The sequence below is a fragment of the Homo sapiens genome, chromosome 22 (genome assembly GCF_000001405.40).
Source record: "Homo sapiens chromosome 22, GRCh38.p14 Primary Assembly".
NCBI classification, from domain to species: Eukaryota; Metazoa; Chordata; class Mammalia; order Primates; family Hominidae; genus Homo; species Homo sapiens.
This window is the reverse complement of record NC_000022.11, coordinates 31045087-31064846: the sequence shown is the minus strand read 5'-3', so window position 1 is coordinate 31064846 and position 19760 is coordinate 31045087. Positions and strand designations below refer to the sequence as shown.

General features: G+C 48.1%; 1 protein-coding gene and 1 pseudogene across 9 annotated transcripts in view; both read right to left on the bottom strand.

Annotated features, from left to right (window-relative positions):
* The window catches only part of SMTN (smoothelin), a 40507-nt gene extending 39778 nt beyond the window's left edge, over positions 1–729 (bottom strand). For all 9 annotated transcript variants that reach the window (NR_168472.1, NM_001382639.1, NM_001382642.1 and 6 more), the window contains exon 1: positions 660–729. The gene's annotated coding sequence lies outside the window, so the exon portion shown is untranslated. The remainder of the gene's footprint in view (positions 1–659) is intronic.
* Positions 4562–4858, bottom strand: RN7SL633P (RNA, 7SL, cytoplasmic 633, pseudogene; annotated as a pseudogene).

Below are 19760 nucleotides of genomic sequence, written 5' to 3'. Positions count from 1 at the left end.
TGTACTAAGGTGAGGTAAGATGTTCCTATCAGGGAAAGCTAGGTGAAGGTGTAGGAAATGAAGAGTTTAGGATAACTCTGAACTATTTTTGCAACGTTTCTGTAAGTCTAAAATTATTTCAAAATTAAACACCAAAATAACTATAAAATATAATTTATATATGAATTATATCTAAATTTTGAAAACTATAGCTAGGTGTGGTGGTGTGCACCTGTAGTCCCAGCTACTCTGGAGGCTGGGGCTGGAGGGCCGCTTGAGCCCAGGAGTTCAAGGCTGCAATGAGCTATGATCGCACTGCACTCCAGTCTGGGAGGGAGAGCGAGACACACCATCTGTAAAAATAAAAAACCTATGAAATCTTGACAAAGTGAGACATTCATATTTAATTCTTTCGGATGCTATCTTCTCCATTACCAGGGATCATCTTTCTTTTCTAATGTGAGGTGGCATTTAGAATCTCTGTACGTTCCAGATGATTCTCGGCTTCAAGACCCAGCTCGAATGCCACCTCTTCCAAGAAGCTCTGACTGATCACCACAGTTGCACAGCTAGAAATTGTGTCTTCATCCCCTAAATGCCCATGACATTTTTTGTGCGCATCTATTAGGGCATTTATCATCTCCATAGTGGACATCTATGGTATTCTCTTCCCAGCTCACCTGCCCAGTTCTGCTTCTTCCTCTTCTGACTCCAACCATGCCGTTCTCATGGGAGCTGCCATGTTGTTACAGACCCCACAGCTGATTGGTCCAGAGATAGACATCTGACCCAGCTGGGCCAATCAGACACCTTCCCTGTTTTTGTGGCAGTTGCTTTCTTTTTTCTTTCTCACTGAAACTGAGTTAAGTTTAACCTAAAGCTTCTTCCTTACCTGTTGTATATTAATTTGGGTCTAAAGGTTTCTCCATACATTGTGAACTGTAATCTAATTAGGTATGTAAACAGACCGTAAGGTACTCTTGTAACAAGTGGCTAGGTCTCATCCAGTCACAGCTGCTGAGTTTCAGCCAATTGCAGGCCGACCACAGTTCAAACAGTGTACCAATAATGCCAACCGTAACCAATCTAGCTGTTTCTGTACCCCACTTCTGTTTTCTGTATGTAACTTTCCTTTTTCTGTCCATAAATGTAATCTGACCCTTGTGGCAGTCTCTGAGTTGCTGTGAACCTATCCTGGTTCTGCAAGGCTCTGGATTTGTGAATTGCTCTTTCTGCAGTTACACTTTGTTAAATTTAATTTGCCTAAAGTGCCCCCCCCTCCACCGCCAATTAGAGGTAGGGACTCGCTATGTTGCCCAGACTGGACTCAAACTCCTGGGCTCAAGCGATCCTCCCACCTCAGCCTCCCAAGTAGCTGGGACTACAGGCTCGTGCCACCGTACCTAGTTCAGAGTTTTTCTGGTAACATTAGCCACCATGTTCTCTGCCACATGGAGGAACCCTGTCTGTAACTAGAGTGAGAAGACAGCTAAGGCAGAGAGAGAAGCAGAGACACAGAATGAGGAGAGAGAGAGAGAAGAGAGAGAGAGAGTGCATGCAAATGGGCTGATTCCACCTGTTCTTGAAGTTTTCTGTCCTTGCCAAGAGTGGTTGTTTGGTTGATCCCTAGTCACTACATAACCCTCAGAATCCAAAAAATCTTCTGGTAAAACCCTCTTCCAATAAATCTTTTTTTTTAAATTAAGTAATTAGAAGAGTTTTATGTGGTTCTCATCCCAAGTTGCAATGAGCTACTCTGAGTTATTTGCATACATGTTTTCTCTCTCCTACTCATCTGAGGGTTGCCAAATGCCCATCTTAGATACAGTTCTCACTGGCCCAAGGCTAGTGAGAAAACTAGGACAACATAGTGAGTCACTTACATAGGTAATTTTTAAAATTGCCAAATTCTGGGATTAGTCCTTGTTATTGAATTTTATGAGATGATGGTAACAGCAGAAAGTAGCAATTTATTTTTCCTTTTAATATTCTTTGACAAATAACAAGATGTTGGCAATTGTGTACCCCAATTTAGGAAAAAACTTTACTGGGACATGAAATCCCAGTGAAGTGCTGGCCAGGTAATGATTCCTCTGGGTGGGGCCCCCTCTTGGCTCTCAGCAGAGAGCCTTGTAAATGAGTGAGATGAGCTAATGGCTGTAGGGAGCTGTTCTGGTCTCCTGTGTCTTGTAGGAATACGATCTGATTTAGAACAGTTACAGCTTATTCATTCCCCCAGTTCTTTTACGATTTTTCAAGGAGGCTTACTTTTTATTTTTATTTTTTTACTTATTTGCAAAATACCCTATTAGTCCTGCAGGGCCCTTCCTTTCAAATTGATCTCATGTTGATTTTCTCTTTAATCCTAATCACCTGTGTAGGTGTGAGAGTTGAGGTGAAGTCTCCCATCTGGGAAGGTTGAGGGGTCGAGGGTCAGCTCGCTGTGGTGGGGAAACAGCACTGGGGTGGGAGTCAGACAGCACTGTTGTCCACCTATGGTTTCTCCTCTTGCTGGTTGCAAGGCCTCAAGCAACTTGCTTCATTTCTCTGAGCCTCAGTTTCCCCGTCTGTGACATGGGGATGATATCTAGCCTACCTTTTGCACAGGGCTGTTGCAAAGGGTTGAATAAGGCTTTGGTGGCAATTTGGAGCTGAAGGAGGCAGCAGGGGATGGGACAGGTGCCCAGTGTTGTTTTATAGAAGCTGCTAGGGGCCGGGTGTGGTGGTTCATGCCTGTAATCCCAGCACTTTGGGAAGCTGAGGCGGGTGGATCACTTGAGGTCAGGAGTTCCAGACCAGCCCGGCCAACATGGTGAAACCCCGTCTCTACTAAAAATACAAAAATTAGCCCGGTGTGGTTGCATCCGCCTGTAATTCCAGCTACTCAGGAGGCTGAGGTAGAAGAATCACTTGAACCTGGGAGGTGGAGGCTACAGTGAGCCAAGATCACACCACTGCACTCCAGCCTGAGCGACAGAGCAAGACTCCATCACAAAAAATAAAAATAAAAATAAAAATAGAAGCTGATAGGGTATATCTGAGGGGGAAAAGATTCAATAACAGAAATTGAAATGTAGGTAAGCGTGAGGAAGTTGTAAGCACTTCCTAGCTCTGTCTTTTTTTTTTTTTTTTTTGAGACGGAGTTTCACTCTTGTTGCCCAGGGTAAAGTGCAGTGGCGTGATCTCGGCTCACGGCAACCTCCACCTTCTGGGGTCAAGCGATTCTCCTGCCTCAGCCTCCCGAGTAGATGGGATCCACTTCCCAGGTTCAAGCGATTCTCCTGCCTCGGCCTCCCGAGTAGCTGGGATTACAGGCATGCGCCACCATGCCCAGCTAATTTTGTACTTTTAGTAGAGACAGGGTTTCTCCATGTTGATCAGGCTGGTCTCGAACTCGCGAGCTCAGGTGATCCACCCACCTCAGCCTCCCAAAGTGCTGGGATTACAGGTGTGAGCCACTGCACCCGGTCTCTAGCTCTGTCTCTTACTTGAATGTGATCTCACCCTGTGTGACTCAGCTTCCTCATTTGGAAATCCAGGTCTCACAGTCAGGAAGTAACTTTTTGGATACCTTACACTGAACACTGAAGGTTGCATAAGAGTTGGTTACAGGCTGGGTGCAGTGGCTCATGCCTGTAATCCTAGCACTTTGGGAGGCTGAAGTAGGTGGCTCATCTGAAGACAGGAGTTTGAGACCAGCCTGGCCAACATGGCGAAACCCCGACTCTATTAAAAATACAAAAATTAGCCAGGTGTGGTGGCACTTGCCTGTAATCCCAGCTACTCGGGAGGTTGAGGCAGGAGAATCTCTGGAACCCGGGAGGCAGAGGCTGCAGTGAGCAAAGATTGCACCACTGCACTCCAGCTGGAGACAGAGCAAGACTCCGTCTCAAAAAAAAAAGAGATACACTCCAGGTAGATGGGACTGCATGAGCAGCGGCTTGGGTTAGAAATTACGGCAGCATGGATGAGAGACACCGTTCTCATGTATTTTGTTTCAGGAGGACAATAATAATACTTGTTTATTGTGATGACAATTAAATAAGATAATGCAGGTAAGGTGCTTAGCAGAGGCTTGTACATAACCAACTCAGTAATGGTGCTTGTTTTTACCGCCATTTTTGTTGTTGTTTTTACAAATAAAGAAAACAAAGGCTCTGATAGGTGATATGTAGGCCAGGCACACAGCTATTGGTTGTTGAGCAGGATTTGAACCCACAGCTTTTATTTATTTATTTACTTATTTATTTACATTTTTAAATTTAATTTAATTAATTTTTTTTTTGAGATAGGGTCTCACTCATTGCCCAGGCTGCAGTGCAGTGATGTGATCTCAGCTCACTGCAACCTCTGCCTCCCGGGTTCAAGTGATTCTCCTGCCTTAGCCTCCTGAGTAGCTGGGACCACAGGCACATGACATCATGACCAGCTAATTTTTATATTCTTAGTAAAGACAGGGTTTCGCCATATCGGCCAGGCTGGTCTTGAACTCCTGACCTCAAGTGATCCGCCTGCCTTGGCCTCCTAAAGTGCTGGGATTACAGGCGTGAGCCCACTGCGCACAGCCTATTTATTTACTTTTAGAGACAGAGTCTCACTATGTTGTCTAGGGTGGAATGCAGTGGCTATTCACAGTCACAATCCCACCACTGATCAGCACAGTTTTGACCTGCTCCATTTTCATCTTGGGCCTGTTCACCCCTCCTTAGACACCCCTGCTTACAGGAGGTCACCATATTGAAGCTGAACTTAGCACAGACACTCGATCAATATAGTACACTACAGCCTAGAACTCTTGGGCTCAAGAATCCCTAGGCTTATCCTCCTGCCTCAGCCTTCCGAGGAGCGCGAACCACAGGGACACACCACTGTTCCCAGCACCATATCTTCTTGACAGAGACCAGGCTCTGAACCACTGTGTTCAAGTTACCCCACTGTGGGGCCTCTGTTCCTGCCCTAGGGGCCTCCCTGACTCAGCAACTGTGGGTGGCCTTGCTTCTGTGCCTGGACAGCAGAGGAGGTGAGAAGCCTTCCAGTGCCTTGAAAACTAAATACGGCCAGGCCAGGCCTCTGAGGCCCGACCCTCAGGCTTGGCCTGCTCCTGCCTGCTCATATGGGCTGTGGGGCGCTACTCCCTACTCAACTTCCTGGCTCTGCTCCAGGGGGCTCTGGCAGAACCTCCATCCAGATCCTCCTTCTCAGGATCTTGTTGGGAAAAATACTAAAAGAGAACATAAAATGAATGCCTCTTATCCATGCTGCAATAATTCCTAATTCTAAGACTTTGCTCAAGTAATTTGGTCCATGGAGTACCTCTCTAATCAGTGCTTAATGTGTCTTTGGTGGCCAGTGTGAGCTATCAGGAAGAGTTACTTTATAACTGTGAGACCTGCAGTAAGTCACTCATCTCATCCATCCACCCATCCATCCATCCATCCATCTACCCACCCATTGGGCACCTACCTGTGCCAAACACATTACATACAGACTCTTCTTCCAGACCGGAAACTCCATGAGAATTGCAGACCAGGTGTCAAAAGATAATTATTCAGGGCAGGCATGGTGGCTCACGCCTGTAATCCCAGCTCTTTGGGAGGCCGAGGTGGGCGGATCACTTGAGGTCAGGAGTTTGAGACCAGCCTGGCCAACATGGTGAAACCCTGCCTCTACTAGTAATGCAAAAATTAGCCAGGCATGGTGGCATGCATCTGTAATCCCAGCCACTTGGGAGGCTGAGACAGAGGAATCACTTGAATCCAGGAGGTAGAGGTTGCAGTGAGCCAAGATCGTGCCATTGCACTCCAGTCTAGGCAACAGAGTAAGACTCTGTCTCAAAAAAAAAAAAAGAAAAAAGAAAGATAATTATTCAACCAATATCCATGTGTCTCAATGTGTCTCCTCCAATTTATATATTGAAACGTAATCTGCAATGTGGTAGTATTAAGAGGTGGGACTTTTGGGGGCGATCACTTCATGAAGCTCCATCCTTATAAATGGGATTAGTGCCCTTATAAAAGAAGCCTGAGGGAGTTTGTTCACCCCTTCTACCATGTAAAGACATAGAAGACGTCATCTATGAGGAACAGGCCCTCATTGACACCCAATCTACTGACACCTTGTTCTTGGATTTCTCAGCCTCTAGAACTATGAGCAACATATTTCTGTTGTTTATATATTACTGAGTCTGAGGTATTTTGTTATAACAACAGGAGCAGACTAAGACAATGAACCAATGGGCCAAGGCTTGTCCTTACTACAGTCCTGGTAAGGCTGTTATCATTATCACCCCCATTTCACAGTTGAGAAGCCCGACACTCAGAGAGGGGAAGTACAAAGAACATACAGCCAGAGATGAGTGGAGCTGAGACTTGGCCAAGTTCTTAACCCTCCTAACAAAGGGAGGAACCATGCTGAGGGGCAGGCCCTGGAGGAGGACACGGACCATTTCTCCTTCAGCTCTTGGCTTCCTTGGTGGGAAGTGGATTAATTCTTTCTCTTGTCTCCCTCCTAACCAAGCCTTTGAGGGTGCCCAGCTCAGAGTCTACAAAGTCCTTTTCAAGGTTTCCAGAGCCCTCCTCTCAGCCCTGTAGGGGATTCAGGGCGGGGGGACCTTCCCCATGGTTCAGATGGGAGAATTGAGGCCTCTGTACTGCCCACAGTCACATGCCATATTAGGGGCCTGGAATCTCATGCTTCAAGAAACTGAGCATGGAACTGGCTGCTAGATATTTCCTGTAGGTGTGGTATGAAGCGCTTAGAGTCTGACAGGTCCTAGCTCTGCCACTTACAAGTTATGCAGTCTTAGAGGAATCACTTCACCCCTCTGAACCGCAGACTTCTCCCCTGAATAGTGAGGACAGTGCTAGTACCTATTTGAGAGATGTTGGGAGGATGAAATGAAAGAATGCTTGTGAAGCACTTAGCGTAGTACCTGGAACATAGTGAGTGCTCCAACAATGAGGTTATGATGGTACGAAGTACCTAAAACAGAACATCAGACTGGTAGGAGTATCCATGCTGAGGGTAATATTAGCTAATGTTTCTCTTTTTTTGAGACAGAATCTCGCTCTGTCACCCAGGCTGGAGTGCAATGGCCTGATCTCGGCTCACTTCAACCTCCACTTCCCAGGTTCAAGCAATTCTCCTGCCTCAGCCTCCCATGTAGCTGGGATTACAGGCACAAGCCACTATGCCCAGCTAATTTTTGTATTTTTAGTAGAGACAGGGTTTCACTGTGTTGGCCAGGCTGGTCTCCAACTCCTGGCCTCAAGTGATCCGCCCTCCTTGGCCTCCCAAATTGTTAGGATTACAGGCGTGAGCCACCATGCCTGGCCAGCTAATGTCTTTTTTATTGCTACTATGTACCAGACACAGTCATCTGGACAATATCCCTCTAACTTAGTGCCATTTTACAGATGTGATAACTAAGGCTTGAAATTGACTTGCCCTAGCTCCTTGCCCAGCAAGAGGAAGAGTCTGGGCCTGAACCTGAGTCTAAGTCCATGATCTCAGGAGCTCTGATCCACTGTCTTGGATTCTCCAACTCCATTATGTTGAAGCCAAGAGAGGAAAAGGGAGTTTCTCAGGGCACCATGGAAGGTGGGGGTAGGGCAGACCACACTGGGGAGGAATTTTTTCTTCCTGGCAGCTCTTCATGGGTCTGGATAATTCTCCAGCTTTAGGATTAAGGCAGAGCCTGACTAGCACATTCATAGTCCTCTGGAAGGATCCAGGGATCTGGCTTTTAGTCTCAGGCCAGCTAGCAGATTCCATTTCCACTCCCCCGACCCGAGCTTTAATGACACCTTCAGCCCCTACTCTACTCTGTGACTGCCCGTTCCCCACCCCCAGCTTTAATGCATGGGGGCCCCCTTTTTTAATCGGCTGAACCTTTAGCCAAAGAAAACTCTTTGGTGCCCGCAAAACCAGCCAGCTGCCCTGGAATGTTGGAGGGGGGTCATCAAGCTGTTTGTGAGCTGCTGGCAGAGAAAGGTGAACAGCTACCTTTTTGGGGGGAAAGTCAGAACATCATCTGTGGGAAAAGATCTAGGGCAGACCAGCTCAGAGGCTTGGGCCTCAGTTTCCCATATTCACCACCATGGCATGTATGGGGGATGAATAACTTCAGCTAAAGATTCAAGAACTATTGTTTGGGTGCTTGCTACATGCCAGGTACTGCACTGGCTGCTGCAGACACATCGGGGACAGAGTTAAGCCCTGTCCTTGGGGGCTGACATTCTAGCAGAAGGCAGTCGCTCAGTAAGTTTCCCAACAGGCTAGAGGCAGGTGCCTCAGGCCCATAAGACCTGATCAACACACTTGTGGCTGGATAGGTTTCAGAATTCATTTTTGTTTTTTTCAGCCAGGGTCTCGGTCTGTTATTCAGGCTGGAGTGCAGTGGCACAGTCATGGCTCACTGCAACCTCAAACTCCTGGGCTCAAGTGATCCTCCCGCCTCGGCCTCCCAAAGTGCTGGGATTACAGGCATGAGCCACTGCTCCCAGCCTCAGAATTCAGGATTTTTTTAGATTTTAAAAGGTAATCCAGTGGGGTCTGGATCCATCCATCTCCAATGAAACATACGAATATTTCTGTAGCTAGAAGTGTGAGTATTGACTCTAAGTGAAATGAACAGATTGCACACCCTCAGTCAATCCAGGTCAGATATTGCTCCTGAATGAGTTTTCACTAAGTGTGCAGAAAAGCCTCTGGCTGTCTGAATTTTCTGAACTTGGAGCTGTAGGTATGAGATTGAGGGCCTGATTCCTCTTCCCATTGTACAGATAAGAAAACTGAGACTCGGGACCAGAGAGTCACCTACCCAAGGCTCCTGAGCGAGCAAAACCTGCAGGTGGGTGGGAATGCAGGTCTACTGTGGCTCCAGATTGACGGCTTGCCACTAACAGGGACTGTGCCTCAGAGAGAAGCAGGGACGGGTGGAGAAGGCTCCTTGACCAAACCTTAGCGGCCCAGCAGCCAGTTCTGCCAGGAAGGAGTTAAACACTAGCTGGGCCCCTGCCAGGCCTCTGCACCACGGCTCCTCACAGGGCCTGCCTGTCTGGGGCCTGTTTACCAGGCTGTGCTTGCATCACCGGCTCTGGCTCCGACGTGCAGTGCAAACACATTCACATTCTTGGGTCATGAGAAACGCACAATTGTGGTGACATCATGCCCAGCGAGGAGGCTTTCGACAGCCTCTTTCCCGCCCCAAGTCAAAGCTGTTTAATTAGCTCCCTTTAACTGGAACTCTCTCTTCTCGTAAAAACCAACTGGAGATACTGACCAAGTGCGGGTGATGGGGATTGGAGTGTTGTGTGTTTCTGTGTGTGTGTGTTTTAAGGGATAAAAATAGCCCATCTGGGACTCCTTTTGGGGTATTTGTGAGTGTTAATGCACGAGTGTTTATATTAAATCTATGTCACACTGGACATTTTCATCCAAATTTGGGGCTTGGAGATGGAACAAGGGAAACCACCCACATCTTTTGGTTCCCTCTAGTTTTTCCTTTTGGGAGGGAGACACATGGTCCAAGTAAAAGGGCCCTGGGAGACAATTTAGATCAATCCCTCATTATACAGCCAAGGAAAAGGAGGCCCAGAGAGGGGAGGGCCTTGCCTGAGGTCACGCAGTGAGGCTCCCAGTTCCCATACCCCTGGGATGTATCTTGTGGCACGCCCCTCAGCCCCCATTTCAGCTTTATGAGCTGTTTTTCAGGGTGTTGGAAAGAGAAGTGCTCCTGGCTAGAGCTTCCTGGCTATGTTTTGAGATGAAGAGTGAACATACCAGCTTGGGCAACATAGGGAGACCCCGTCTCTACAAAAATTTTGTAAACATTAGCTGGGCATGGTAGTGCGTGCCCATGGTCCCGGCTACTCAGGAGGCTGAGGTAGGAAGATCACCTGAGTTTGCGAGGTTGACGCTGCAGTGAGCTGTGATTGGTTATTGCACTCCAGCCTGGGAGACAGAGTGAGATCCCATCTCCAAAAAAAAAAAAAAAAAAAAATGTGGGGCGGTGGGGCCAAGCACAGTGGCTCACACGAGTAATCCCAGCTCTTTGGGAGGCTGAGGCAGGCGGATCACTTGAGGTCAGGAGTTTGAGACCAGCCTGGCAGCCTGGCCAACATGGTGAAACCCCATCTCTATTAAAAATACAAAAATTAGCTGGATGTGGTGGCGGGCCCCTGTAATCCCAGCTACTCAGGAGGCTGAGGCAGGGGAATTGCTTGAACTCTGGAGGTAGAGGTTGCCGTGAGCCGAGATGGCGCCACTGCACTCCAGCCTGGGTGACAGAGCAAGACAGTCTCAAAAGAAAAAAACTGTGGATACCTTTTTTTGTGGTGGTGGTGGTGGTGGCTTCCACATGTGGTGTTGGGGTGGCAGCAGTGAATAATAAAACAAGAGACCTCAGCCTCCCCAATCTCCTGTCTTTCTTTTTTTGAGACAGGGTATTGCTCTGTTGCTCAGGCTGGAGTGCAGTGCTGTGATCACAGCCCACTGCAGCCTTGACCTCCCAGGCTCAGGTGATGCTCCCACCTCAGCCTCCAGAGTAGCTGGGACTATAGGCATGTGCCATCACACTCAGCTAGTTTTTGTGGTTTTAGTTCAGACAGGGTTTTGCCACATTGCCCAGGCTGGTCTCGAACTCCTGGACTCAAGTGATCTGCCCATCTCGGCCTCCCAAAGTGTTGGGATTACAGGCCTGAGCAACTGTGCCTGGCCACCTCCTCTTTTTCTGTCCCAACGACTTGCCTCTCCCCCGCAGATCACCCCAGGTCTTCTTTTGTTTCTCTTTCCAAAGAAGTCCCAGTCCTTGCTGACTTCCTGCGATGGCCACTGAAGCTTGTTTCTCACTTAGGGATACTAAATTGAGCCAATATAAATGTAGGACACCCAGTTGAATTTGAGTTCAGATAAACAACGTTTTAGTTTATGTCCCACGGAATATCAGGATATACATTTATCGAGCAACCCTATTTTCTTCCTCCTGCATCATCCTGGCTGTGGCAGATACTCTTGACTGCCTCCCCATTAACCTTCCTTCTACTTCCTTGATAACTGAGCCCTGATTTCTGTCTGTGGTGGCAGTGTGTCCCAGTTGGCGAACTGTGATTGGTCTAGGCTAGTCATGACAATCCTGTTCTCTGTTGTTTTCCCTGACTCCCTTGTAGTGAGAAATGATCTGATGGTTATTATTATTATTATTTTTTTTAGAGACAGGGTCTCACTCTGTTGCCCAGGCTGGAGTGCAGTGACGTGATCATAGCTCATGGCAGCCTTGAACTTGTGGCTGAGATCCTCCCATCTCAGCCTCCCCAGTAGCTGAGACAACAGGTGCATGTCACCACACCTGGCTAATTTTTTAAAAAATTTGTAGAGATGGGATCTCACTATGTTGCCCAGGCTGGTCTCAAATTCCTAGCCTCAAGTAATCCCCCTGCCTTGGCCTCTCAAAGTGCTAGGATTACAGGCATGAGCCACTGGGCCCAGCAGATCTGATGGTTTTAAGATATGCCTGCAAGTTCCTTGACATCTCTCCTTTCAGAAGGTGGAGACTCATCCCTTCCCCTTGAAAGTAGGCTGGACTTAGTGATTCATTTCAAAGAGTGATTTCTGAGGGCAGCTCATAAAAACCATTGTTGCTTCTGCCTTGCTCTCTTAAATTACTCATTCTAGCGGAAGCCTGCTGCCATGTTGTGAGGACACCCAGTAGCCCTATGGAGAGGCCTGCATGGGGAGAACCTAAGTCCTCCCATCAACAGCTAGCCCCAGCTTGCCAGGCATGTGAGTGAGCAACCTTAAAAGTGGCTCCAGACCCAGTCAAGCCTTTGAATGACTGCAGTGTGGGCCAACATTCTGACAACAGCATAAACCAGAGATATGCCTGTATTAATCATATTTTTCATTTTCTTTCTTCTTTTTCTTTCTTTTTTCTTTCTCTTTTTTTCTTTCTTCCTCTCCTTCTCTTTCTTTCTTCTTTCTTTCCTCTTTCTTTCTCTTTCTTTCCCTCCCTCCCTTCCTTCCTTCCTTCCCTTTCTTTCTTCCTCTCTTTCTTTCTTTCTCTTTCTTTCTTTTTCTTTTTCTTTTGTTTTTTTTTTGAGATGGAGTCTCACTCTGTTGCCTAGGCTGGAGTGCAGTGACACAATCTTGGCTCACTGCAACCTCTGCCTCCCGGGTTCAGGCGATTCTCCTGCCTCAGCCTCCCAAGTAGCTGGGATTACCGGCACGCTCAACCATGCCCAGCTAATTTTTGTATTTTTAGTAGAGATGGGGTTTCACCATGTTGGTCAGGCTGGTCTCGAACTCCTGACCTTGTGATCTGCCTGCCTCAGCCTCCCAAAGTGTTGGGATTACAGGCGTGAGCCACCGTGCACAGCTTCTTTTTTTTTTTTTTTTTTTTTTTTTTTTTAAAGAGACAGGGTCTTGGTCTGTTGCCCAGCCTGGAGTGCAGTAGCATGATCATGGTTCACTGCAGCCTGGAACTCTGGGGCTCAAGTGATCCTCCTGTCAGCCTCCTGCGTAGCTGGGACTATAGGCATGCACCTCCATGCCTGGCTAATTTTTTTTTTTTTTTTTTTTTTGAGACAGAGTCTCGCTCTGTTACCCAGTTTGCAGTGCAGTAGCACAGTCTCGGCTCACTGCAACCTCCACCTCCCGGGTTTAGGTGATTCTTGTGCCTCAGCCTCCCAAGTAGCTGGAATTACAGACATACACCATTAGGCCTGGCTAATTTTTGTATTTTTAGTAGAAATGGGGTTTCGCCATGTTGGCCAGGCTGGTTTCGAACTCCCAACCTCAGGTGATCTGCCCGCCTCAGCCTCCCAAAGTGCTGGGATTACAGGCGTGAGCACCCACCCTCATGCCTGGCTAATTTAAAAACATTTTTCTTTTTTTTTTTGAGGCCGTGTTTTCGCTCTTGTCACCCAGACTTGTGCCAGTGGCATGGTCTCAGCTCATTACAATCTCCACCTCTGGGTCCAAGCAATTCTCCTGCCTCAGCCTCCTAAGTAGCTGGGATTACAGGCACCCGCCACCATGCCCGATAATTTTTTTTTTTTTTTTTGAGACAGAGTCTCGCTGTGTTGCCAGTGGCGTGATTTCGGCTCACTGCAACCTCTGCCTCCCAGGTTCAAGCAATTCTCGTGCCTCAGCCTCCCAAGTTGCTGGGACTACAGGCGTGTGCCACCACACCCAGCTAATTTTTGTATTTTTAGTAGAGACAGTGTTTCACCATGTTGGCCAGGATGGTCTTGATCTTCTGACCTCGTGATCCACCCGCCTTGGCCTCCCAAAGTGCTGGGATTACAGGCGTGAGCCACTGCACATGGCCTAAAAATTTTTTTGTAGAGATGGGGGTCTCCTTATGTTGTCCAGACTGGTCTTGAACTCCCAGGCTCAAGTGATCTTCCTGCCTTGACCTCCCAGAGTGCTGGGATTAGAGGTGTGAGCCACTGCCCCCCACCATTTTTCATTTTCTTGGAGTTTGTGTGTTTCCATGTGTGTGTGTATATGTTTTAAGGGATAAAAATAGCCCATCTGGGACTCCTTTTGGGGTGTATTAATGCACCATTGTTTATATTAAATCTATGTCAAACTGGACATTTTCTCATATTTTATGTTGTTTTTGACATATTTAAGGGAGGGCTTGCCGGCTGGAAAGAGACTTCTGCTTTTAGGGCTAGGTAATTTCTAGAGACAGTGAACAACTTGTCAGTGAGCCCACCTTTTATACACAAACCAGTGAATTTCAAGTCCATATCCTCAGCCTCCTTTATCCAATTCTCATACACCCTGCCCTAAATCAATCTAGGGCCAGGTACCGGGCAACTAGGAACAGCCCCTATTCCCCAAAGCTCTCTGGAATGATTCGAACTAGGCAGTCCTAAACTGTTTACCACACCCTGCCTTGCCTTCCTGTGGAAAACAAAATAAACCTGTGGCTATGCCTTCTCCTTACTCCTTTCTGCCTCTCGACTGACTGACGCTAGTGCTTCTCCCTGTGGCCCCGCCTGGCATGCTATACCTCTGATTTTTAGGGAACTGTAAGTCACGTAAAACTTTTCTTTCAATGGCATTGACCTCTCTGTGTTGTCACTTAGTCACCTTTATAAATTAAAACCTGGGCACAGGCTAGGCACAGTGGCTCACGCCTGTAATCCCAGCACTTTGGGAGGCCGAGGCAGGCGGATCACCTGAGGTCTGGAGTTTGAAACCAGCCTGGCCAACATGGTGAAACCTCATCTCTACTAAAAATACAAAAATTAGCTGGGTGTGGTGGCGCACACCTGTAGTCGCAGCTACTCCGGAGGCTGAGGCAGGAGAATCACTTAAACCTGGGAGGTGGAGGTTGTACCAAGCGGAGATCGTGGAGACAGAGCAGGCCCCTGTCTCAAAAAAACAAAACAAAACAAAACCCCAAAAAACAAAAAAACCTGGGCAGAAATCAACTCAGAGATTCTGAGCCAGAACTACCTAATTAAGCCATTCCCAATACCTGACCCACAGAAAGTCTGAGATAGTAATCCCAGCCTCCCAAAATGCTGGGATTACAGGCATGAGCCATTGCACAAAGTCAGAATGTAGCAATTCTAAGATACCCTACAGCACATTTATTCTGTTATCTCTGTACTTCACAGATGGGAATCTAAGGCCCAAGGGTGGGGAAGGCACAGCCTAGAATAGTACAGGAGACCAGTGGCAGAGTGGAGATTAGAATCCAGAACTTTGAACTTTCCCTTTCTCCAGGCTGTGAGGAAGGCAGTGTGGATTCCCTTGGACCACCCAAACATTTCCTTTCAGGAGGAGGCGATTCTTGACCCAGTGCTGCTACCAGCTCCCCCTGGGTCAGGAAGCTCTGCCTGCCCAGGATTTCCTGTGTGTGGGAAAGAAACAGGATGAGTAGATAAATCCCCCAAGGCTTTTTTTCCCCAAGTGCGTGAGGTCCTCTCCCTGGTAAGTCTGCAGCAGTTCTAGCCAAGATGACCAACCCATCGACATGTATTTTGTGTGTTTATAAACAGTAATAAAAAGAATGATTGGCAAGGCACAGTGGCTCTCACCTGTGACCTCAGTATTTTGGAAGGCCAAGGTGGGCTGATCGCTTGAGCCCAGGAGTTTGAGACCAGTGTGGGCAACACAGTGAGACCCCATCTCTACAAAAAATTAGCCAGGTATGGTGGCACACGCCTGTAGTCCCAGGTACTTGAAAGGCCGAGATGGGAGGATTGCTTTAGCCCAGGAAGTTGAGGCTTCAGTGAGCCGAGATCACACCACTGCACTCCAGCCTGGACAACAGAGCGAGACCCTGTCTCAAAAAAAAAAAAAAAAAAAAAAGAACGATTGCATGTGCATGAAGCACAAGACAGGAGGTAGGGGAGAAGAGTCCACATCACCGTCCCTTGTCCCTGCCCTTGTGGAGCTGCCTTTGTTTGGGTCCTCCCAGAAGCAGGTCTTAAGAGAAGTATTTAAGTTCAAGTAATCTGTCTGGGAGGTGATCCCAGGGAATCCCCTGCAGGGGAGTGGGGAGGTGAGATGGGGAAAGGAAAGCAGCCAATAAATTCAATAAATGAATTGAAAGCACACTTCGATAGGCAACTGGAGTTCAACCCCACTAGGGAAAGCTCAGAGACAGTCATCCCAACCAAGGAGCAAGAGGCAGCTGGAGTATCTAGCCACCAACTTCTCATTCTTCACTGGTTGAGGGATGCTTCTGGAACTCAGCCTTCCCGCTTGCCAGAGGACAGGCCCAAGTGTGCTCCTGAGGTCAGAACAACACAGTCAAGCAGTTACATTCACAGTAAGAAGCCTTTGATGGGTAGAGGTATCATCAGGGGCCTCTGGGCGGTATCTGCTCCAGAGGCTGACCACTAATGAGTTTTCCATCCACAGGAAAAGGCAGAAGGAGGCCCAGGAGACATGCCTTCCCCTCCCTGGGTGGGGTTATGGAGGCCGTGTGGAGTGCATAGTGGGCCTTTTGCCTGTTCAGGCCCCCATCACCCCTTTCTTCTCATTTTGAGGAATCACCTTACCCCACTGTGGTCCACATCGTCCTCTTCAACACTGTACTAGACCACATTTCCCAGCCTCCCTTGCTGTTAGGGGAGCCATGTGACTGATTCCAGCCAATGAAATGTGAGCAGAAGGGACATGTGCTGTTTTCAGACTTGGTCCATAAATACCAACCACTCACTTCCTTTCGCTTTTTCTCTCTTTTTAACTTTTTTGGAGACAGGGTCCCACTCTGTTACCCAGGCTGGAGTGCAGTGGCGTGATCATGGCTCACTGCAGCCTTCACCTCCTGGGCTCAAGTGATCATCCCAGGTTCAAGCAATCCTCCAGCCTCAGCCTCTTGAGTAGCTAGGACAACAGGTATACACCACCACACCTGGCTAATTTTTTTATTCTTTATTTTTTTTGTAGAGACAAGGTCCCACTATGTTTCTTAGGCTGGTCTCGAACTCCTGTGCTCCAGCAATCCTCCTGCCTTGGCCTTCCAAATAGCTGTGATTATAAGTGTGAGCCACTGTGCCTGTCTCGCTTTTTGGAATGTCTTCAATGGTGCTTTGGAGGAAGAAAACATCATGTGAATGACTACACAAATCACTATTGTCAGTTGGGAGTTAGCTCTGAGAGGAAAAGTTTAGGGTGTCTTGAGCACTTTGACTTGAGATCCAGCAGAGGAAGTCATGGGCAAAGGCCCTGAAGCAGGAAGGAGGAGTCTGAAGTGGGCCATGGTGACTGGAGGTTATGAACAAAGCTGAATGGCCTGAGAGGAAGGCACATGATCTTGATGTAAAACTCATAGGTGTGTGTATTAGTCTGTTTTCACGCTGCTGATAAAGACATACCAAGACTGGGAATAAAAAGAGGTTTAATTGGACTTACAGTTCCACATGGCTGGGGAGGCCTCACAATCATGGCGGAAGGCAAAAGGCACTTCATACATGGTGGCGGCAAGAGGGATGAGGAAGAAGCAAAAGCAGAAACCCCTGATAAACCCATCAGATCTCATGAGACTTATTCACTATCACGAGAATAGCATGGGAAAGACCGGCCCCCATGATTCAATTACCTCCCCCTGGGTCCCTCCCACAACACATGGGAATTCTGGGAGATACAATTCAAGTTGAGATTTGGGCGGGGACACAGCCAAACCATATCAGTGTGTGAGGAGTTAGATGGATATGGGCTGGACACTGCCCTGGCACCCTTCTTCCTCTTTCTGGGGACAGAGAGCCAGTTTGAGAAACCAGATTATAACCAGGAGGGGCTGAGCCTAGAAATTCAACAGAATTTGGGCATACATGTGGCTTGCAGAGACATGGAATTCAGTGGTTCCCATGCCTGGAGCCCCCTGCTCTGGTCTATAGTGGCAGAAGGGCTTTTCTGTCTTCCAGACACAGCTCAGTCTCACCTCATTCTCAGGTCATGTGGCCTGAATTTGATGGGTTTTCAAATCATGTGCCCCGACCATCTTGTGTATGGGCTGGGTACCTCTCATCCTACACAAATGACTTTCCAGGTCAGGTGCTGTGGCTCACACCTGTAATCCCAGCACTTTGGGAGGCCGAGACGGGGAGATCACCTAAACTGGGAGTTCAGGATCGGCCTGGCCAACATGGCGAAACCCTGTCTCTACTAAAAGTACAAAAATTTAGCTGGGCATGGTAGTGCAAACCTGTAATTCCAGCTACTTGGGAGGCTAAGGCTATGAGAATCGCATGAAACGGGAGGCAGAGGGGGTTCAAGTGATCACACAGCGAGCCGAGATCGTGCAACTGTACTCCAGCTTGGGCGACAGAGGGAGACTCTGTCTCAAAACAAACAAACAAACAAACAAACAAAACAAATGACTTTCCAACATCAGTGCAATAGGCTCTTCTTGAGGACTAGCCTGGGAGCCTTGCTCCTTGGTGTTGTGAAACCTCAAGTAACTGATTTAATATTGAACTGCTGGGCCAGAGCTGCAAGCCTGACCTCAGGGGCTGCCTTTCTCCTGCCCCACCCCCTCCCCTGGAGCAGTGTCCTCTGGGGAAATGCAGCTGACCCAGCTGCATCCGTGGGAAGGCCTGGCCCCCACACTTCACCTTCTCAGCCCTGCCTCTCGGCCACAGGAAATGACCCTCTTAGCAGCCACGAGCTGTGATCCAGAGGACAATGACAGAGGGACGGAAGCCCTGTTTGTCCCAGCTAACTTGTTCCCTTGGGTGGATGCCAGCTGCTGAAACAAAAAACTGAAGATTCAGTGGAAAACATATTTTTTACAAAACAAACAAACAACCCTGTGGGCTTTAGCCAACTTCTGAGGCTCTGGGGCCGGGGGAGGGGGGGTTGTTTTCTTTACTTGCTTCTGTGTGTGTGTTTAAAACACAGATAAAGCTCAGAGAATCAAATAGCCTAAAGCTTGGAAGAAGGCCAGTGATCCCACCCTAGCAGCAGAGCCCCCCTGTGGTGTCTTTCTTCATGTGGCTGGGCCCCACTTCTCCACACCACTGTTCATCATGTCACTTGGCTCCGGCCACTGCCCCCACCCCACCTCCATTCACCACCCAGAAGTCAGAAAGCTCTGCTCAAACCCACATCAAGTCACCATTCTAGGGCTCTGCAGGCTGCCTGTCTCAGTCTTCAAGTCTCCAGCTCAAATGCCACCTCCTCCAAGGGGCTTCCCTGACCATTCCATATGAAATAGCACCTCTCAGTCTCTCTCCCTCCCATAGCACTTGTAACTCTTACTATATCTGGAATGATCTGCTTTGTTTCCACGTGCCAGGCACGTAGTAGCTACTCAATAAATGTTGGTTGACTGGCAATGTTTCTCAGTGGTTGTTGCATTCAGATGAAAACTGGCTTAGAAAATCCATATTCCATTGTATTTCAACAAACATTATTGGCCACAAACAGTGCTAGGGATCAGAGGCAAATTAGTTGGGATTCGTTCATTCACTCACTCACTCATTCATTCATGAGAAGGGTAGACCCCATGGTAAATGGGGATTCAGCCGGGGGTGCAGAGAACCAGGAAAGCTTTAGGTGGGAGGAGATTGTTGGTGGGTTTCCCCCCATTAAAGTAGGGTTCAGAGGTGTGAGCAAGAAAGTGTTTGGAAAAACAAGAGAACCTTGGGGTGTGGAATTTAATTTATTCCCACTTAGAACCCCCAGGGAGGGCAGAGACCCGATTTTATCTGGGGCTGCAGAGAGGGCACTCTCCATGTGCTTGTTGAAGGAACTGAGGGATGAGGGATGGTCAGGTAGTGTATGAAGTTTATGGCTCTGTTTAAGAGGTTGCTGTGACGTCCCGAATGCCAGGCTATGAAGCCTGGATTTCCATCTATAGGGAACAGAGTCTAATCAAAATAATGATTTTGGTGCTGGGTGTGGTGACTCATGCCTGTAATCCTAACATTTTGGGAGGCTGAGGCGGGAGGATCGCTTGAGCTCAGGAGTTCAAGATCAGCCTGGAGAACATAGTGAGATGGAGTCGCTAATTAAAAAAAAAAAAAATTAGCCAGGCATGGTGGTGCGTGCCTGTAGTCCTAACTACTGGGGAGACTGAGGCAGGATGACCACTTGAGCCTGGGAGGTTGAGGCTGTAAAGAGGTGTGATTGAGCCACTGCACTCCAGCCTGGGTGACAAAGCGAGACCCTGTTTCAAAAAAAAAAACCGGCTGCCACGCACGGTGGCTTACACCTGTAATCTTAGTACTTTGGGAGGTCGAGGCAGGTGGATCACCTGAGTTCAGGAGTTCAAGACCAGCCTGGGCAACACAGTGAAACCCTGTCTCTAC